Consider the following 23267-nt stretch of genomic DNA (forward strand, 5'->3'; position numbering starts at 1 on the left):
ACCAGCCACAGCAAAATCATGCCAAAATGTAAAGACCATCAAAGCTAGGAAGAAACTACATGAACTAACGAGCAAAATAACCAGCTAACATCGTAATGACAGGATCAGACTCACACATAACAATATTAACCTTAAATGTAAATGGGCTAAATGCTCCAATTAAAAGACACAGACTGGCAAATTGGATAAAGAGTCAAGACCCATCAGTGTGCTGTATTCAGGAAACCCATCTCACGGGCAGAGACACACATAGGCTCAAAATAAAAGGATGGAGAAAGATCCACCAAGCAAATGGAAAACAAAAAAAGGCAGGGGTTGCAATCCTAGTCTCTGATAAAACAGACTTTAAACCAACAAAGATCAGAAGAGACAAAGAAGGCCATTACATAATGGTAAACGGATCAATTCAACAAGAAGAGCTAACTATCCTAAATATATATGCACCCAATACAGGAGCACCCAGATTCATAAAGCAAGTCCTTAGTGACCTACAAAGAGACTTAGACTCCCACACAATAATGGGAGACTTTAACACCCCACTGTCAACATTGGACAGATCAACGAGACAGAAAGTTAACAAGGATACCCAGGAATTGAACTCAGCTCTGCACCAAGCGGACCTAATAGACATCTACAGAACTCTCCACCCCAAATCAACAGAATATACATTCTTTTCAGCACCACACCACACCTACTCCAAAATTGACCACATAGTTGGAAGTAAAGCATTCCTCAGCAAATGTAAAAGAACAGAAATTATAACAAACTGTCTCTCAGACCACAGTGCAATCAAACTAGAACTCAGGATTAAGAAACTCACTCAAAACCACTCAACTACATGGAAACTGAACAACCTGCTCCGGAATGACTACTAGGTAAATAATGAAATGAAGGCAGAAATAAACATGTTCTTTGAAACCAACCAGAACAAAGACACAACATACCAGAATCTCTGGGACACATTCAAAGCAGTGTGTAGAGGGAAATTTACACCACTAAATGCCCACAAGAGAAAGCAGGAAAGGTCTAAAATTGACACCTTAACATCACAATTAAAAGAGCTAGAAAAGCAAGAGCAAAGACATTCAAAACCTAGCAGAAGGCAAGAAATAACAAAGATCAGAACAGAACTGAAGGAAACAGAGACACAAAAAACACGTCAAAAGATTAATGAATCCAGGAGCTGGTTTTTTGAAAAGATCAACAAAACTGATAGAACGCTAGCAAGACTAACAAAGAAGAAAAGAGAGAAGAATCAAATACACGCAATAAAACATGATAAAGGGGATATCACCACCAATCCCACAGAAATACAAACTACCATCAGACAATACTATAAAGACCTCTACGCAAATAAACTAGAAAATCTAGAAGAAATGGATAAATTCCTCGACACATACATCCTCCCAAGACTAAACCAGGAAGAAGTTGAATCTCTGAATAGACCAACAACAGGCTCTGAAATTGAGGCAATAATCAATAGCTTACCAACCAAAAAAAGTCCAGGACCAGATGGATTCACAGCCGAATTCTACCAGAGGTACAAAGAGGAGCTGGTACCATTCCTTCTGAAACTATTCCAATCAATAGAAAAAGAAGGAATCCTCCCTAACTCATTTTATGAGGCCAGCATCATCATGATACCAAAGCCTGGCAGAGACACAACCAAAAAAGAGAATTTTAGACCAATATCCTTGATGAACATCGATGCAAAAATCCTCAATAAAATACTGGCAAACCGAATCCAGCAGCACATCAAAAAGCTTATCCACCATGATCAAGTGGGCTTCATCCCTGGAATGCAAGGCTGGTTCAACATATGGAAATCAATAAACGTAATCCAGCATATAAATAGAACCAAAGACAAAAACCACATGATTATCTCAATAGATGCAGAAAAGGCTTTTGACAAAATTCAACAACGCTTCATGCTAAAAACTCTCAATAAATTAGGTATTGATGGGACGTATCTCAAAATAATAAGAGCTATCTATGACAAACCCACAGCTAATATCATACTGAATGGGCAAAAACTGGAAGCATTCCCTTTGAAACCTGGCACAAGACAGGGATGCCCTCTCTCACCACTCCTATTCAACATAGTGTTGGAAGTTCTGGCCAGGGCAATCAGGCAGGAGAAGGAAATAAAGGGCATTCAATTAGGAAAAGAGGAAGTCAAATTGTTCCTGTTTGCAGATGACATGATTGTATATCTAGAAAACCCCATCATTCAGCCCAAAAACTCCTCAAGCTGATAAGCAACTTCAGCAAATTCTCAGGATACAAAATCAATGTGCAAAAATCACAAGCATTCTTATACAGCAATAACAGACAACTAGAGAGCCAAATCATGAGTGAACTCTCATTCACAATTGCTTCAAAGAGAAGAAAATACCTAGGAATCCAACTTACAAGGGATGTGAAGGACCTCTTCAAGGACAACTACAAACCACTGCTCAATGAAATAAAAGAGGATACAAACAAATGGAAGAACATTCCATGCTCATGGGTAGGAAGAATCAATATCATGAAAATGGCCATACTGCCCAAGGTAATTTATAGATTCAATGCCATCCCCATCAAGCTACCAATGACTTTCTTCACAGAATTGGAAAAACTACTTTAAAGTTCATATGGAACCAAAAAAGAGCCTGCGTCGCCAAGTCAATGCTAAGCCAAAAGAACAAAGCTGGAGGCATCATGCTACCTGACTTCAAACTATACTACAAGGCTACAATAACCAAAACAGCATGGTACTGGTACCAAAACAGAGATATAGACCAATGGAACTGAACAGAGCCCTCAGAAATAATGCCGCATATCTATAACTATCTGATCTTTGAGAAACCTGACAAAAACAAGCAATGGGGAAAGGATTCCCTATTTAATAAATGGTGCTGGGAAAACTGGCTAGCCATACGTAGAAAGCTGAAACTGGATCCCTTCCTTACACCTTACACAAAAATTAATTCAAGATGGATTAAAGACTTACATGTTAGACCTAAAACCATAAAAACCCTAGAAGAAAACCTAGGCAATACCATTCAGGACATAGGCATGGGCAAGGACTTCATGTCTAAAACACCAAAAGCAATGGCAACAAAAGCCAAAATTGACAAATGGGATCTAATTCAACTAAAGAGCTTCTGCACAGCAAAAGAAACTACCATCAGAGTGAACCGGCAACCTACAGAATGGGAGAAAATTTTTGCAAGCTACTCATCTGACAAAGGGCTAATATCCAGAATCTACAATTAACTCAAAACAAATTTACAAGAAAAAAACAACCCCATCAACAAGTGGGCGAAGGATATCAACAGACACTTCTCAAAAGAAGACATTTATGCAGACAAAAAACACATGAAAAAATGCTCACCATCACTGGCCATCAGAGAAATGCAAATCAAAACCACAACGAGATACCATCTCACACCAGTTAGAATGGCAATCATTAAAAAGTCAGGAAACAGCAGGTGCTGGAGAGGATGTGGAGAAATAGGAACACTTTGACACTGTTGGTGGGACTGTAAACTAGTTCAGCCATTGTGGAAGTCATTGTGGTGATTCCTCAGGGATCTAGAACTAGAAATACCATTTGACCCAGCCATCCCATTACTGCGTACATACCCAAAGGATTATAAATCATGCTGCTATAAAGACACATGCACATGTATGTTTATTGTGGCACTATTCACAATAGCAAAGACTTGGAACCAACCTAAATGTCCCACAATGATAGACTGGATTAAGAAAATGTGGCATATATACACCATGGAATACTATGCAGCCATAAAAAATGATGAGTTCATGTCCTTTGTAGGGACATGGATGAAGCTGGAAACCATCATTCTCAGCAAACTATCACAAGGACAAAAAACCAAACACCACATGTTCTCACTCATAGGTGGGAATTGAACAATGAGAACACATGGACACAGGAAGGGGAACATCACACATCGGGGACTGTTGTGGGGTTGGGGGAGGGGGGAGGGATAGCATTAGGAGACATACCTAATGCTAAATGATGAGTTAATGGGTGTAGCATACCAGAATGGCACATGTATACATATGTAACAAACCTGCACATCATGCACATGTACCCTAAAACTTAAAGTATAATAATAATAAAATTTAAAAAAAAATCCAGGTAAAGAGATCAAGATCATAAAATTATCTAACAAAAATACAGATACTAAAAATATTTTTAAACAGTAAGAAGGTATACTTTCATATACCACTTATAACAGTAAGAAAACTTTTATACCTTTTAGTTTTCTGCCAAAAAGTATAAACGTTTTTGGCAGAAAACTGAAAGATCTGAGCTCATAATTAGTATTTTTGCACTTGACATGCAAAATGAACTGATTTAACCTGAAAAAAACATCAAATATATTTTTTACATAGACCAAGCATAAAAATCCAAATGAATTTAAAAGCTTAATTAAGTGGATAGATGTAAACAGACAATAGAGAGGGAGGAAAGAGAAAATATGAATGATCATTAGCATCACCTTTACCACCATCTCAGAACAAAAGGTAGTGAGATTTCAGGTGAGTTTTCTTTTTCTTATATGTTCTTCTGCCTCTATCTGTTCTCTTATTGTACAATAATATTTTGTTGTTGTTGTTGTTAAGGAACTTACAAGGCTGACCTGATTAAAGAGTATATATTCCACTGTAACAGCTAGGCATGGTCATATGACTAAATTCAGACCAATGGGATACTGGCAGAAATGTCACAATGACTTCTAGAAAGTACCCTTAAGGATACTGCCCTTCTTCACTCCCTCTCTGAATAGAATATGGGTGCAATGGTTGGAGTCTGAGTAGTCATCATGGACCATGAAGCAGAAGCCTCATGTTAAAGATGGCTCAGCCACAGTAAGACGAAGCCAGAGTATCTGAAGATAAAGAATTGCCATATAATCCAGACTACCTACTTTTATGGGAGAGAGAAATAAACTTCAATCCTGTTTAAGCCACTGTTATTTTGGGTTTTCTGCCACTGCTGCCAAATTGATTTTAACTAATACAAAACCAAAATAAATAACTTTCTTATCAGAACCAGAAGCCACTTCCCGCCATATTATTAATCAAGAATTCTCTCCTCTCAAAACAGGATTAAAACCTTTATATAAGCTCTGATTAAGGCACTCCCAAGGAAAGGATATAGACAAAATAAATCATAGGATTTCTCAGTCCTATGACTAAACATCCTGGAACTAGAGTCACTAAAATAAAACCTCCATTTTTGACAAAGAACTTACTTTTAAGTAGCCCACTGCTGTTCAAAAATGAACCTTCCTCTTTCACGTTAGATCTGGACTCAGATGGAAGTGGTTCAAGGAGCACTCCCCACTTACAAGGGCAGTGTTACAGAATAAATATTTTTGTGCAATTAAGAAATAAAACAACTGATATGGTTTGGCTCTGTGTTGCCACTCAAATCTCATCTCAAATTGTAATTCCCACGTGTCAAGGGAGGGACCTAGTGGGAGATGACTCGATCATGGGGGCCGTTTCCCCCTTACTGTTCTTGTGATAACCATCAGTTCTCATGAGGTCTCATGGTTTAAAAGTGTGGTCTTCTTTCTCTTTCTCTCTCTTCTGCTGCCATGTAAGACATGCCTTACTTCCCCCTTTGCCTTCTGCCATGATTCTAAGTTTCCTGAGGCCTCTCCAGCAATGCTGAACTGTGAGTCAATTAAACTTTTCTTTATAAATTACCAAGTCTCAGGTAGTTATTTCTAGCAATGTGAACAGACTATTACAACAACATTCTATTATAGTATATTATTAAATATTCAACTCTACAACCTTGACTATGTCTCAAATACTTACTCTGCCTTTAAAGCTATGATGTAGCTGATCTTCAGCAAAAATATGGAATTGAAGAGGTTTGATGCTGAAAATGATAGCTGACTTCAACATGGTCATAGTTTCTTCCAGTCTTTCACCACAGGCAACTACAGCTAGATGCATTTTCTCAACAGGCTGTATTTTCAGACTGTACCTAATAGGAAAGAAAACCACATTTTTCAACAGTTTTAGTATATGTTTACAATGTGTACTTTCATCATGCTCAAAAAGTGAAGCTCAAAGCCAGATGTTGTGACTCATGCCTGCAGTCCCAGCTACACGGGAAGCTAAGGCAGGAGGATCACTTGAAACCAAGAGTTCAATGCTGCAGTAAGCTATGACTGCATCACTATACTCCAGCCTGGGCAACAGAGCCAGACCCTGTGAAAGACAGAGAAGAAAGAAAGGACAGAAAGAGAAGAAAGAGAAAGGGAAAGGCAAAGGGAAAGGGAGGGAGGGAAGGAAAAAAAAAAGAAAGAAAGAAAAACTGAAGTTCAAAATTTTTATTTATAAAACAAACTAGGCCAAGTCTGTAATCCCAGAGCTTTGAGAGACCAAGGCAGCAGGGTCACTTCAGTCCAGGAGTTCAAGACCAGCCTAGGCAACATACCGAGATCCCATCCCTACAAAAAATACAAAAATTAGCCAGGAGTGGTGGCATGCACCTGTAGCCCCGGCTACTCAGGAGGCTGACATGGGAGGATATTTTGAGCCCAGAAGATAGAAGCTGCAGTGAGCTGTAATTGTGCCACTTTACTCCAGACAGAGCAAGATCCTGTCTCAAAAAAAAGAATGTATTTATTTAAAAAATAAGAAAAGGGCAAACATCAAATTACAAAACATTTTAAAAATGTTGAATCAATCACGTATTTCCACACTCTCAACCAGCTCTTCTCACCAATTTTCCTCCTTTCAAACTACAGAACACACAAAAAATGACAACTTTCTCAATTCTCCCAAGAATACATAACTAGCACCACTGTGGCTGCCAGTAAATAAATTAATTCATTACTCACATTAGATGCCTTAGGAAATCAGAGCTTAACTCTCTCAAGGAACCCATTGAGAAAGATAGATTTGAAGGTCTTTCATTCAATTTTTTAAAAACATTGTTATTAAAAAAAAACCCTTAAAAACATTCTTACTTCATATGAAACCTCTCCCCATACCACCTCTCACCAACCAACAGTTCACTGTAAAGCAAACCCAGTCATAATTTCATCCATAAATGTTTCAGTATTACATTCAATCTTAAACCATGCTGACTACAAGAAAAAATGTCCTTCACATTAATAACACACATTCATTCCCATTTACCAAATATCTAGGAAGATGTAAACACTTCTGAGATGGTCTAAAACATGCTAGTCAAACACTAGTATGTCTTTAGAATCTACTTCTAACACAGTGCAGCAGTGGATACCAACAGGCTTAAGTAACTTTTAATACCTCTTGCTTCTGCTGTGCCACTTCTTTCACGTCTGGTGTTAGCATTAGCTTCGGTCTTTTTACTTTTTTTTCCTTCTTTTTAGAGACAGGGTCTCACTCTATCACCCATGATGGAGTACAGTGGTGCATTCATAGCTCACTGCAGCCTCAACCTCCCAGGCTCAAGCCATCTTCCCATCTCAGCCTCCCAAGCAGCTGGGACCACAGATGTGCGACCACCATGTCCAACTAATCTTTTTTTTTATTTTTTGTAGAGATGGGGTCTCACTATGTTGCCCAGGCTAGTCTCGAACTCCTGGCCTCAAGGGATCCTCCCACCTCAGCCTCCCAAAGTGCTGGGATTACAGGCATGAGCCAGCGCACCTGGCCAGTTTGGGTCTTTTTAAAGCTCTCTATTATTTTCTGTTGGCTGTAATTAGAAAGAAGCAATGTCTCTTCCCTTGTTTGTACCCTCTGTCCTTTGCCCTCTTTTGTGCTGAGCCCATCAGTTCATAACACTGAAACTAATGATGGAGGGGAGACTTTCTACTCTTTCTACGTCTATAAAGAGGGGACATGAATCCAGTTCATCTCAAAAACAGTGGAAGCCACAATGACAAGTTAAAAACTAGGCAATCAAGACATGACAATTTTTAGAGAATTCTAAATTACCTCATCTTTCCAGTAACTGCCTCCAGATCCTACTTGTCATTACAGCATCATGATTTAAGAATCAATAACAGGCTCGGATTGCTTTACTGGCCCATAGCTAGATCTTGCCCCAAAGTCAAAGGCCAAGAGAAGATTTTAAAAGTAAGGCATAATAGTCATATGCTGTTTTGTAGAGCATCAGCTATATACACAGACAAGAAGTATATTAAACCTAAAGAAACATTAGCCTCAAGGCCGGGCATGGTGGCTAACACCTGTAATTCCAGTACTTTGGGAGGCCAAGTTGAGAGGACCGCTTGAGGCCCAGAGTTTGAGACCAACCTGGGTAACACAGCGAGACCCAGTATCCACACACACAAAAAAACTAGCTGGGTGTGGTGATGCACGCCTGTACTCCTAGCTACTTAAAGGCTGAGGTAGGAGGGTTGCTCGAGTCCAGGAGTCCGACGTTGCAGTGAGCTGTGAGCATGCCACACTGCACTCCAGCCTGGGTGCTGGGCGATGTCTTAAATAATAATATACCCAAATGTTTCTCAAGGAAAAAAAAAAAAATCCCTCTAAAAATCAGTCTCAGGAACTCCTCCCAGGTATTTCAGCAAGGATTGTTTTGGTCACACTGCCAGCACTCCTTTCACCAATTTCTACAGGAGTACTGTCAACTACATCACATTTCCTCTTCTGTTTGGGATCCTTTTTAGTGAAAGTATTATATACAGTACAGGCTCAACTCCTAAACTGACCACAAAAAACACGGTTAAAAGATGTCTCTGACAACCACCCTACCCCTAGACCCAAAAGACAGGAAAATCAATTGCAACTGGAAAAAAATCTAAAGTAAGCTTCTATATGATAGGAAGTGATAACTAAAACCTTCTAAGCAGTTACAGGGAAGCAGTCATTCAAATAATGTTGGCCCCAATTGAATGGCGGAATCTTGCCAGGGTCTACAAAAATCTTTCTTTCGGTCACAATATGAACAAAAGAAAAGTCCATCTGGATTTAAAGAAATGTAATAGAAGAGGAGATTTTAAAGTCAAGCCTATTTTTCTACAGATATACAATTAGAAGAAATTCGTCAGATGATTCAAAGATAATATCTGAGGGTTCCCATGGTTAAAGCTGGCATAACCTGAGTATGAAAAGTATGACAGTAATGAATGATAGTGTATTAAATTTACAAAGTGAACCCTGGCCGGGCACGGTGGCTCACACCTGTAATCCCAGCACTTTGGGAGGCCGAGGTGGGTGAATCATTTGAGGTCAAGAGTTTGAGACCAGGCTGGCCAACATGGCGAAACCCCGTCTCTATTAAAAATACAATAATTAGCCGGGCATGGTGGCACACACCTGTAGTCCCAGCTATTCGAGAGGCTGAGACAGGAGAATTGCATGAACCCAGGAGGCAGAGGTTACAGTGAGCTGGAATCATGCCATTGCACTACAGTCTGGGCAACAGAGCGAGACTCTTTCAAAAAAATAAATAAAAAGTGAACACATCGTCAAAAAATGATATTAAATAAAGGGGTAAGAAGAGGGAACTCTTCTTTTTTTAAAGATGAATACCAACCAATAAATGCAGAAGAAATGAGAGAATTATAAAATTCACTATTTTGCAATCACCATTGTAACAGATAATCTGGACAAAAATAATCAGTGGATGCTAAAACTACGTACTAACAAAATATTTCCCCCATATATTATAAAGGAGATAAAAGCACTGTTACAGTGTAGAAATGCAAGAACATCACCTTAACCATGTGATCAAACTTAATAATATTAAAACTTAAGGCATCAAATGTCTCCTGATAGCATGCCCAAAGAAGAACACAATATCCCATGCAGTAATCCTGCCAAAAATCCTGAATCTAATAATAAGTAGACAGTCGGCAAATCAAAATTAAGGGACATTCTGCAAAACAAAAACAAAAATATCACAAAAGATACCAATAACAGCACCCCTTTTCACCCCAAAAAAGGCTGGGGAACAGTTCTAGAATAAAGGAGACTAACTCAACCTGAGTTGAATGCAATGTATGGTCCTTGACTGGGTCCTGAATGGGGAGGAAAAGATACAAAGGACATTAACAGGAAAATAAGAAAATAGGAATAGGAATATATATTCTATAAAGTGTTAAATAACTTAAAGTGACAATTATGGCTGTATTAAAGTATGTCCCTGTTCTTAGGAGATACATGCTGAATCTATGTATTTAGGGGTGTGTCCTAATGCCTGCTGTCTCTCAAATGGTTTGGCAGAAAAAGAAAAGTGGTAAAATGTTAATAATAAATATCTAGGTAAAAAATGTATGGTATGCTTACTGTACTATTCTTGTAACCTTTGCATATTTGAAATTTATCAAAGTAAAAATTTAGGAGGTAGGGGTTTATCATAAAAAAAGAATGCTTTACATAACAAATTTAGATGCAAATACTGTTAATAAACTTCTAAGTCTTAAGAATTGACTTCTTATTTTAAGTAAATTTCTGCTATAAAGGAATCATAATAACTTTTTTGATTTTGTTTTATTTCACAGTATGATCTCCAGTGTGTTCTTATAGCCTATTATTAAATTAGTATTCCCTATTTAAAGAGATACATAATTAGACTACAAACTACCATTGAAGTATATAAAGTCAAATTAAACAATTAAATTTCAAATAACCATCTACTAAAACTAAAAAAGAACTGCCATGAAGCTATCTTTAAAAACTTGCAGTTGAACAAAATGGAAAGCTTTTTTGCTTAACCTGTTATGCTTAAAAAGAAAAACAACACCTTTTTCTCTTACTATTAAAAGAGTTGTTCCCAGCAACACATAATGGACTAAAAGAAAGAAAAAAAAAAAAGAGTTGTGCTAAATTATCATACCAGGCAAAATTACTTTCATGAGTTACATATAAAACACTTTCAAAACAAAATACTTAAAAAAAAAAGCTAGGATTTTTATATAAAGCATTAAAAAAATCTAAAAATCCAACATGAAATATAAGTATTAACTTCTAAAATATAATTTTAAATAACCAGTGAAAATATATCTCTTAAAACTGGTATGAACTACTCAAAATAATACAGCTAATATTAAATTCACCTATGACCACAGAATTCACAAATCTAAAATCAATTCCCACCATAAAGAAGATTCAATATTTTAAAGAACTGATTTTTTTAAAAACTAAAGTCATAGAAAAATTAGTACATTAAAACAAAATATTTCTGATATTTTGATAATTCTAAAATTTAGAGTTTGTATAATGAAAGTAAAATAAAAAAACAAATTAGAAACTTATTTGCAATCAATGGCAAAACCGAACATATTATTCTAAGAGTTCATAAAATAAACATTAAAAATTCAATAGATAACTATCAATATCAAATAGATGATATACAGAACAAAAGAAAAAAGCTAACTAAATGTGGAAATACATTCAACAAATAATCAACAAAAAGCTATCATTTTAATAAGTGATAAAATTATAATTCCCAATAATGCTAAGGTTATGATGACCCCAAGTACACTCACACAATGCTGGTGCAGGCTTACAGCCATATAATTTTTAAAACACAATTTAGTGATATAATTCATTCTTTTTAAAAAATATTTGAACTCCTTTCATATGGGCACTGGGGTAGGCAAGAAAGCCACAATCTTCACCTTATACAATTTGTAGCCTGTTGTGAAAAGACTGATTTTTAAAAGAATAAGAAAGCATGGTAATTGTTTTAATAGAAAAAAACTGAGATTGCTAAAGAGGCTCACAACGCAAACATCTAACCTGGTATTGGGGAAAGCTTCCCAGACAAATGATCCTGTTAATCATTTGTTTCTCACTGGTTGCCAAACACCTTGCTAGGCATGAGACTTAAATGATAACACCATATGGTATCAGCCTGCAGAGTTAACGGTCTAGAAGTGGATGAAGATTCACAGTCACAACAAATGCGGTAAATACAATAACCAAGAGGAGACAGAGAAGGGAGATGAAGTGAGCAGTGAGAGGAGACTATAATTGTTTGGGAAATGATGAGTACAACGGTTAAGGGAGAAGGAAGGAAGCAAGCAGCCAGGAGCAACAGTGTGAAAGGAGACAAGAAGAGTTAATGTAGACTGACATGTGGAGAAAGTCCGTTGTAAACATGATACAAAACACAGATGAAGGAAAGTCTGAGGAGCTAGAGCATGAGTTCAGGTTTGAACATGAGTCTCTGAGGCATTTGAATCAGAAAGGTAAAAATGACCAATATGCAACTAGAAATACAGGTCTGGCTCTCAGAAAAGAACTCTGAATTGGAGCTATCAGTTAAACAAATTATCCTGTGACTATTCAGGGAATGGGGAGAGAAAAGAGCAGAGTCCTAAGAAATGCAGATCATTTAGAAAGCAGCGTTAGAGGAGTCCAGGAGGAGAGAGATCAAAGAGCTGAGTAACTGGTCTGGTCTCAAAAGCCAGAGGCTAACAGAGCTGACAGAAAAAGGAAGTAGTAAACAGTGTCAAATGGGTAAGAGAAATAAAATTAAGCCCCAGAACAATAATTCAGAGGTGGGGTGATGACAGTAAGAGTCAGGTGGCAGACAGCTGAGGTGTGAAGTTCTTTTTATTAAAAGAAGTAAAACCAAGGCTGAGCACAGTAGCTCATGCCTGTAATCCCAGCACTTTGGGAAGCCAAGGCAGCAGGATCACTTGAGCTCAGTTGTTCATGACCAGCCTGGGCAACATAGCGAGACAGCGAGACCTTGTCTTCACTAATATTAAAAAAAAAAATTATTTGGCTATGGTGGCATGCACCTGTAGTCCCAGCTACTTAGAGGACTCAGGCAGGAGGATCACTTGAGCCCAGGAGGTCCAGGCAGCAGTGAGCCCTGGTGGTGCTACTGCACGCCAGCCTGGGCGACAAAGTGAGACTATCTCAAAAAAACAAACAAACCAAACAAAACCCAGAAGCAAAACCAGTAGGAACTTTTTTTTTTTTTTTTTTGAGACAGAGTCTCACTCTGTCACTCAGGCTGGAGTGCAGCGGTGTGGTATTGGTTCACTGCAACCTCTCCCTCCCGGGTTCAAGCGATTCTCGTGCCTCAGTCTCCCAAGTAGCTTGAACTAAAGTTGCGCGCCACCATGCCTGGCTAATTTTTGTATTTTTAGTTGAGACGGGGTTTCACCATGTTGGCCAGGCTGGCTCTCGAACTCCTGACCTCAGGCGATCGGCACGCCTTGGCCTCCTAAAGTGCTGGGATTACAGGCGTGAGCCACACCCCTCCAGCCAGTAGGGAGGTACTCAAAAGAAGCTTGCTGATGAAGGGAAAGAGAGGATTGAAAACAAACTGTTGCAGGGATTTTTGATTTTGTTTTAAAGACATAAAGCCAGGCACAGTGGCTCATGTCTATAATTCCAGCACTTTGAGAGGCAATGGAATAGTGTGTTGCCATTGACATGAGAAATATGAAGACCATACTACACTGAAAAGTATTAAAATTTTAAGCTCAGGATTCAAGATTAGGCCGGGGGCGGTGGCTCATGCCTGTAATTCCAGTATTTTGGGAGGCCGAGGCGGCCAGATCACCTGAGCTCAGGAGTTTGAGAACAGCCTGAGCAACATGGTGAAACCCCCTCTCTACAAAAACAGCTGGGCGCAGTGGCAGATGCCTGTAGTCCCAGCTCAGGAGACTGAGGCAGGAGAATCGCTTGAGCCCAGGAGGCAGCGGTTGCAGTGAGCCAAGATCATGCCACTGCACTCCAGCCTGGGAGACAGTGAAACCCTGTCTCAAGAAAAAAAAAAAAAAAAAAATTCAAGATTAGTCTACACCAGAATCACAACTATGTAAAAGCATATGATGATATGAATGATGAAAACACTTGTAATAGGAGTTGAGGCCATTTTAGTTTTTATATTATGTTCACTGTATAATAAATTAATTGGGAGAATATGATCACCCAAATAATATTTGATCAAAGTTATACAAATAATTCAAGTTGGGAAAGTAAGGTACCCAACTAAGGGCCCCCTGGTGCCAGGCAGAATGTGACATCAAAAGTGGTAGTAAAGGGGAATTCCAAAGAAGCTTTACCAGTATTAAAGTAGATACTGAGATGGAGGGCAAGAATGATTTGGCAGTTGTATGGCATTTGGGCTTGTATGCATATTTGAAATAGGGTGATTAAATGTGAGGGAATCGTTAGTTCTAAATAAGAAACTAAGTTTGAGAAATTTTTACATAATTATATGACACAAAATGTTTGCTTTTTTTAAATGTAATAGCATGATATAATGGATGCAATATTACGGGTAGAAAGTATAACAGAGGAAAGGCATATAACTTCTGAAGTCTCAAATTTAGGTTACAGGCACAAGGCTTACAACATTATGTATCCATCCACATATGATTTATTCCACGGAATACTTGGGAGCATTAGGAAAATGAGTTAGAGGAGCCAAAACAAAAGGAATGGTAAGCAGAGAGTCCAGGATTCCGACTAGGTAAATTTCCCTGGGACACTCCTGCAGTCAGTAAGGAGGAAAGATTATTATTACTCACGCTGTAATTTACAAAAGGGTCTGGGTTGTATAAATCAGAGTATGCTGAACTTTTCAAGTTTACCCAGCTTCAAGCTAGTGGAATTATGTGGCAAGGCAAAGTGGTTCTTGTCAATACTATATTCATTTGCAAATATTCGTAAGAATGAAAACATACAAAACTTCAATTATCCAAAAGTATAACCAAACTGAAAGGTTAGATTATCTTTAAAAGTTAATTTTTAAAAGCTGGAATATTACTTGGCTCATATTAAAATTTCAATCACCCAATCTCTTCCACAGCAACAGGATATAACTAAACTATCTGATTTGAACCTATTCCCCACCAGTTCTTCATGGGATGCATACTGTATTGAGAATGCAAGAATTTACAAATATGTACAATTAATAGATACTTACAATGCAGTTCTTACAGAGAGGAGAATGGTGGTTACCAGGCACTGGAGGTGAAGGGGTGGGAGAGAGTATGTGATGGAAAGATGTTGACCAAAGAATACAATACAAACTTCCAGTCAGAAGGAATAAGTTCTCAAGATCTACTGCACAGCAAGGTGTCTACAGATAATTATGTTTATTTCAAAACTGCGAAGAGAATAGGTTTTAAATGTGCCCATTACAAAAAAAAGATAAATATGTAAGATGATAAACATGTTAATGAGCTTGATATAATCAGTCCACAATATATACAGACACCAAAACATCGCTTTATGCCCCATAAATACATAGAATTATTGTCAATTAAAAATAAATTTTTTAATTAAAAGTTTTTAAAAATGAAGTTCTTCCTATCTCAAACACTTCACCTCCTGTCCTTGAAACTAGCTAATTTCCAGATCATCATCTGGTCACTCCCTCCAAGTCTTCCCTGATGCTTTAAGATGACTCATCATAGCAACAACTTGTCACACTCTATTGTAATTTCAGGTTTACTAGTGTGAAACTCCCATCAGAACGTAAGCTCCAAAAGGATGGAGCCACAATTAACCTGACCCAAGAGTCCAGTGCTTACCACCTAGCACAGCGTGTGGCAAATATAATGAGTAGAATTAATATTTATTTTATTTGTTTTTTTGAGACAGGGTCTTGCTCTGGGCTGAAGAGCAGTGGCGTCATCACAGCTCACTGCAACCTCAACCTCCACGGCTCAAGCAATCCTCCCACCCAAGCCAGCGCATGCCACCATGCCTGGGTAATTTAAAAAAAAAATTTGTAGAGACAGGGTCTTGCTTTTGTTGCCCAGGCTGGTCTTGAACTCCCGGGCTCAAGCAATACTCCCGCCTCAGCCTCCCAAAATGCTGAGATTACAGGCGTGAGCCACCATACCCAACCTAGACTATTTAAATGAATCATAAAGACGCAGTAAATAGATACTCTTCTAAGGAATTTTACTCTTGGGAAGAGCATTTCAAACCTTTGCCCCACTCTCCTCTGCCACTGTATCAGGGAGATAGTCTGAGAGTCACTGCCTTATCGTATTCTTATCAATACCTGTTTCTTTCATTCTAGATTAGAGCAGGAAGGGACCTAAGAGGTCAGAGTACCCAATACCTTCATTATCCAGAGAAGTGAATAAAGCCGAACTAGTCAGTAACTTAAAAGGTCAATAAACATTAAAGGAAGAAGTAGCCAGGAGCTGCTCCTCCATCTGCTCCTCCATTAAATACTTATCTTTATCCTCCTATTCCCAGTATTCAATCTCTCTACTAATAACGAATATAATCCTTCTCCAGTTGTCCCCATCCACTATAGTACACAAGCTTTTAGATAAATGCCATATTTTATATATATAGATATATCTGTAAACGTCAGTAGAAGCCTATTTTTATCCTAGTTTATCACTTTATCAACTGTTACCAAAAGTTAGATCATAAATTCTCTTAAGAACAGTGGTTTGTCTTAATAACATCTAAGAAAATTTAAAGCATTTATACACAGTATGTACTAAAAAATAGCAATAACAACTACAAAATGGGAAAAATAGAAAACCCAATAAGAAAATAAATTATTTGTATAATATCATAAGAAACATTCTTACATCCTATTACAAAGGTTTTATTATCAACTATCTAACCTTATCTACACTGATCTACCAATTAAATATTAAGTGCCTACCTAAAAGCCGCTTCCCAAAAGCAGTTCATTCCACAAACATCAGAGGGCAGCATCCAATAGGGATTCCAGTAACACAGAGAGAAATCTTTACACCTAACAGAGTAAGACAGAAATAAGAGTCCTGTGTGAGTATTTTGGTTTGGAACTAACAAGGAATTTACTCAGTAACACGATAACTTACTGTTCTATTTTAAAGCAAATAAAATTATAAATCCAAATTGCTATGATAAAGATTTTGGAAAACTGATTTCTCCCTTACTTAGGGCACCATTATTTTAAATAGAACTTTAAAACCCTGAAGGTAGACTATACTATAGATTGGGAAACAGTGTTTCCGTCGGAGAGTCTCCTGATAAAATCCCCTCCTCAGATAACACAGACAAATATGTCTTCTAAAATTTTCTTCACAGGCTACACATATACCCCTAGAACAAAATCCCTTTGGGACAAACAAAATATTTGCTTATCCTCAAACATAATAAAAATGCCACCAATACTGGCAGAAAGGGAAAAGAAGATCTTTAAATGCTTTTAAATTAATCCTCAATCCAAACTACTTGTATGGTGTTTTAAACTGAAAAATAAAACATAACAGCCAAGATGTATATGAAAATGGTCAATATCACTAATCATCAGGGAAACGCACATTAAAACCACAATGAGAGAACATCTCACCCAGTTAAAATGGTTATTATCAAAAAGGCAAAAAACAAATCCTGGCAAAGGTATGAAGAGAAAAGGAAACACTCATACACTGCTGGTAGGAACATACATTACTACAGTCACTATAAAAAAAAACAGTATATAGAGATTCCTCAAAAAACTGAAAATAGAACTACCATATGATCCAGCAACCCCACTGCTGTGTGTATATATACATACATATACACACATGCATACACACATACACAGACAGGCACAGTGGCTCACATCTATAATCCCAGCACTTTGGGAGGCTGAGGTAGGTAGACTGCTTGAGGCTAGGAGTTCAAGATTAGCATGGTCAACATAACAAGACTCCGTCTCTAAAAATAAAAAATTAGCTGGACATGGTGGCATTTACCTTAAGTCCCAGCTACTCAGGAGGCTGTGGTGGGAGGATGGCATGAGCCCAGGAGTTTGATGTTGCAATAAGCTGTGACTGTGCTACTGCACCCCAGCCTGGCTGAACACAGCAAAAGAGACTCTGTCTCAAACAAAAACAAAAAAAATTTTTAACCACCCTCCCTGCCCCAAAAAAACCCGAAAATCATGCTGATATTCACAGCCTAGTATCATTATCTACATAATCTCAGTTCCATATTATACAAGCTAAAATGGAAGATCAAGTCTGGTCTTTCTTGTTAGGTTGCATGTTGGAGCCAAAACGGAAAAAAGAAAACACCTTACATTACAAAAAAATTGTTTTTCATCGTGATTTCTTTTCAAAATAATAGTCTAAAAGTCACTGGGTACTAAAGTATGTATGAAGTCAGGGTGAGTCACTAAACCAGGTCACTTCATTATCTCATCACTATGCAGCTTTGTTTTCTCTCATTATGAATTCAATTATGAGTTACTGTGCTTATATCAAATGGTCTATGAAATTTCTGATTTGCAAAAATCTGATCACATCTCTCACAAATGGCAACAGTCTAAGGCAGGGGTTCTTAGCCCTGGTAGAGGGTGCCACACAAGACCTATTAAATCAGAATCTCTAGAAACGGTCTGGCACTGGTGGTTTTTAAAATGCTGCCTAAGTAATTGTGTATACTACTGCATAAAGAACAAGGTTGGAATTTCTTAACCAACAGAAAAAAGTTACATTATAACTTTGTTTTCCTCTAAAGGGACACCACATTCTAGCATAGCACAAAAGGCTACATATCTTCATTTAAAAGGCTGAACCAGAAAGAGAAGAAAATGTGTATGTATCGGTAAAACTTATGACTTGATTAGAAAATCTGTGTTTGTACCCTCTCAGGCATGGCTATGTATTTTCTTAAGTCTTTGATTTCATACCACACAGTCAGACTCATTGATGGTAATAACAACTAACAGAGTTATTTTCAGATTCAAGCACTTTCACACCCATTTAGACTCACTAGAAACGTTTTAAGGTAGGTATGATCTCCGTCTTTCAGATACAGATGATAGCACAGCTTTATTTCAACAAATGCACAATTTATTTACAATCAACACCTAATGTGTACCTTTGTTCTACGAAGACGATAACTAATCAGGTTATTCCATATCCCCTGTCAAACTCTACAACAGTGAAACATGGAAATAGAAATCTCAAAAACAAATTCAATTTTTCTATAAAATTAATTAAAATTATATATATTTAACAATACCATTTGCAGCCTCAACTTGTACTTTAAGTTACAAAACAAATCAGTTATGTGTTGTTTTCCAAACCTGCCTGGTCCTCAGGTCACTTGTTAAAAATACAGATATAGGATCCTATCCCATACCCAGTTAATCAAGACTCCCCAGAGAAGTGGCCTAAAAAGCTGAATTTTTCACCAATATCCGCAGATAAGTCTTAAAATCAGACCTGAATGAGAAACATTGTGTATCAAGGAATAACTAGAGTCAGCTTGAAATTTTTTTATCGCAGTACTGATCATTTCTCTTATGATAATCCTGTTTACTCCAACTTAAAAATGATTAAATTTTGAAAATTTGTGTTTCTACGAATACTTCAATCAATACATTTTATTAAGTACCGTTTAGAAAATTTTTTAAAGCCTAAGAAACAAATTACCCACCACTATTAACATTTTCGTATCTTTACTACCCCATATTTCAAAAATATCTTCCTACAAATATTTGACTAGAAAAGTTAACGTGTATGTTGCCAACATGCAGAAGTTGCTGAAACTACTTGATCTTCGTTAGTCTCAAGAAAACGCCCACGTGAGCTAGAGAGCACACCTCAAACTCCCTGTTCTCAGGAAATATCCACCAGGGAGCTTCTAACTCAAAAGACCCTCTTGCAGTATTACAATTAAACTGTATTTGGGGGCAATGTTTTTGTTTTGTTTTTTTTTTTAAGTTGATGCAAGATGACGAAGCCACAGACATGAGAATTAAATTCAACAAGACCAACATATTGAACAACTCAGTAACGAGTTTAAATTTTGTGAAGCTTTGAGCCACACCAAGAGCCCTACACTTCTGCTAGTACCAAACTAGGTGCCAAGTATGGTGGATTAAGGATGATCACACATCTGACACTTCTATTAATAAGTAGGATCTGCTGCACGCAGTGGTTCATGCCTCTAATCCCAGCACTTTGGGAGGCCAAGGTAGGCGGATCACTTGAGGTCAGGAGTTTGAGAATGGCCTGGCCAACATGGTGAAGCCCCATCTCTAATAAAAAAAATCAGTCAGGTGTGGTGGCGGTTGCCTGTAATCCCAGCTACTCAGGAGGCTGAGGCAGGAGAATCGCTTGAACCCAGGAGGCGGAGGTTTCAGTGAGCCAAGATCATTCCATTGCACTCCAGCATGGGTGACAGAGAAAGACTCTGTCTCAAAAAACCAACCAACCAACCAACCAAGTAGGATCTAACTCCCCTTATCCAGAATCTAAGTGGGCTCTGTGATTGCTTTGACAAATAGAATACTGAATATAATACTGTACCAATGTCCAGGCCCTTCCCTTAAGAGCTCCACATCCTATTTCTTGGAACACTCTTTGAACCTGATCTTCACGTTGTAAGAAGCCCAAGGCACATGCAGAAGCCACTTGAGAGAATGCAGATCAACAGCCTCCACTGAGCTCCTAGTCAAAAGCCAGCATCAACTGCTAGCCATGTAAAAGAGCCACAATGCCACACCATTCTGATCTACCAACCTACTGGTTCCTCCCCAACTCACAGAAAACTAGCATCCGGTTCACAGTCCTCGTCTCAGTACCAAATCCTACTTTCCTCTAACCATTCATTTGGTAAATCAATAAATTTTCTACTGAATGACTACCTACACAGGCCAAACACTGGCAACACTATAGTGAGTAAAATGGACATGGATCATACTGTCTAGTGGGGAGTAACAGAATGTCATTTCAGATACTGCAAGGTGAGAGACCTAACCAACACCCAGGTTACACAATTCTTTAAATCCAGTAACTCTTACCTCCTTTTCCCTTCAGTGAAAAATGGCAAATGCTGGCCGGGCACAGTGGCTCACACCTGTAATCCCAGCACTTTAGGAGGCCGACGTGGGTGGATCGCTTGAGCCCAGGAGTTCAACACCAGCCTGGGCAACATGGCAAAACCCCATCTCTACAAAGAATAAAAAAAAAATTAGCCAGGCATGGTGGTGTGTGCCTGTAGTCCCAGTTACTCGGGAGGCTGAGTTAGGAGGATAGTTTGAGCCCAGGAGTTTGAGGCTACAGTGAATTGTGATCATGCCAATGCACACCAGGTCTGGGCAACAGAGTGAGACCCTCTCTGACAAAAGAAAAAAAAAGAGAGAGAGAAGAAAAAGTAAAAAAATGACAAATCCTGGACCCTGTCAGAAACTGCAATCCAATACCTCATCTCAGACTAGTCTCTGATCTAATAATTATGGTTCTTTTTTCTGAGACAGGGTCTTGCTCTGTCGCTCAGGGTGGAGTGCAGTGGTACAAACACAGCTCACTACAGCCTCAATCTCCTGGGCTCAAGCTATCGTCCTGCCTCAGTCCCCAAGTATCTAGGACTATAAGCATGTGCCACCAAGCCTAATTTTTAAAAAATTTTTTGTAGAGACAAAGTTTTGCTTTGTTGCCCAGGCTTATTATTTATATCCCATTACATGTGTGGAAATCACTCAGCCCTCCAATCACATGCTTCCTAAGTATAAGCTCCCTGCTTTACCCATTTCCCTCCCTACTCAGACTACATCATATGGTTCATCCATTCATGTTCCTATACCTGCAAACTTCCACCTTCTTCTTTCACCGTACCTTTTCAGCACAATCTTCAGTTGAAACTGAGCTGTTCATTCACATTCTCAGATGAATACTGAAGAACAGTTAATGACATGACTATGCTGATTAGTAGAAATATAAATTAATTGTCTTCCCCTTAGCTAGTCTCATACCTATTACCAACTCCATATGCTTCCCCTTGTTGCCCATCTTCTTCTCAGGAGTCCTTAAAGACCTTCTTGCATCAATTAGTCTTTCTTTCTCCTTAACTGGCAATCTCTATTTGTGTAGTAGACTGTATTACTGTTCAGTTATTCACTCCCCACATTTAACTGTAAAAGGATTATACAACCCTATTCATTACCATGGGCCTTGCCTGCCTGATAAGGGAGGCATATATCCCTGCATCATTTATTGACTTTGACCTTATTCAAGTGACTTGCTTTGGCCAAAATAATATAAAAAGACATGATACTGTGGCATCAAAGTAGAAGCTTCAAATGGGACTGTGTTGTTCAATCTGGCTTCTTGCTCATCCACTACCACAAGACCAGGCATATCCAATGTATGGATTGCTCCTTTAGCTTGGATCCCAGGATGAGAAGATATATCAAGCAAAGTCATAGCCATAGACATGTAATGTGTGCAAGAAATAAATGCTTGCTATTGTAAACTGTTTAGATGTATGGGGTTGTTACAAAGCAAAGCAGAATAATACAAGCATAATTCCCTTTTAAAGTGTGTAATTCAATGGTTTTTCGTATATTCAGAGTTGTGCAACCATGACTCACCAATTAAATTCCTCAGTATATACTCAAGAGAACTGAAAACATGTTCACAGAAAAACTGTCCATGAATGCTCAGAGCAGCATTATTCATAATAGCCAAAAAGTATGAAAGAACTCAAATGTCCACCAAATAATGAGCAAAATGTGGTATATCCATACAATGGACTATTATTTGTCCATAAAAAGGAATGAAATATAGTGATACACGCTACAGTGGATAAACCTTGAAATATTATGCCAAAAAGAAAGCCAGATTCAAAAGGCCACATACTGTGTGATTCCTTTATGTAAAATGCCCCAAACAGGCAGACAGAAAGTAGACTCGTGGTTGCTCATGACTGGGGGACTGAGGAGTGCAAGGTGGGAGTTACTGTTACTGGATACAGGGTTTCTTTGGGGGGTAATGATTTACTTCACAAAGGTTTAATGCAGTCAAAATTGGATAGGAAAAATCAAGTTATAGGTAAATTTATTGATCATAATTCAATGTCAAAAAACACATAGTATATAGGAAAGATGTTTTTCTTTCTTTACTGGAAATATAAGAACACATGCACTAGTGAATACATATGCTGCATACCATTAAAAAATCATAAAACACTTAGGTATTGCTGTAAGGAATGAAGTAATTTGTTTATAGTTTTTTAACTCCCAAATATCTATTCTCCCATTTTGAAAAACTGGTTTGGGAGATTTAGATAAAGAGTAGAAACTCACACTGAGAACTTATGACATATCAGTGGCTTATTAGAAGCAATAAGATAAATTAGCAAAAGCAACTCATCTGAAGACAGCACTTGCACTTTTAGGCCAAAAAGAAAAATTAAAGTTTGAAAATACTGGAAAAGTAAAGGTAGTTATCCAGGTTCTGGCTATTAGTTGCTTAAAACTGTTGAAAGCAGAATATTAAACATCCAACATTCAAAGAGGTAACTCTATTAAATAATTTTAATGAGGCAAAGCATTAATATGAGTTAGG

General features: G+C 38.0%; 1 protein-coding gene across 3 annotated transcripts in view; it reads right to left on the reverse strand.

Annotated features, from left to right (window-relative positions):
* Positions 1-23267, reverse strand: part of GXYLT1 (glucoside xylosyltransferase 1) — a 63030-nt gene that overhangs the window by 31314 nt on the left and 8449 nt on the right. The window contains exons 1-3 of one of the 3 annotated variants that reach the window (XM_017019211.1): positions 16601-16695; positions 14888-15070; positions 5842-6013 (exon numbers count right to left, since the gene is read on the reverse strand). In XM_017019211.1, the coding sequence (XP_016874700.1) occupies positions 5842-5982 (141 nt within the window). In that variant the 5' untranslated portion in view covers positions 5983-6013; positions 14888-15070; positions 16601-16695. Of the gene's footprint in view, positions 1-5841; positions 6014-14887; positions 15071-16600; positions 16696-23267 lie in introns of those variants that run through there. The other 2 variants (NM_173601.2, NM_001099650.2) reach the window with 2 other exon arrangements.

The sequence above is a fragment of the Homo sapiens genome, chromosome 12, assembly GCF_000001405.40.
Source record: "Homo sapiens chromosome 12, GRCh38.p14 Primary Assembly".
Lineage (NCBI taxonomy): Eukaryota > Metazoa > Chordata > Mammalia > Primates > Hominidae > Homo > Homo sapiens.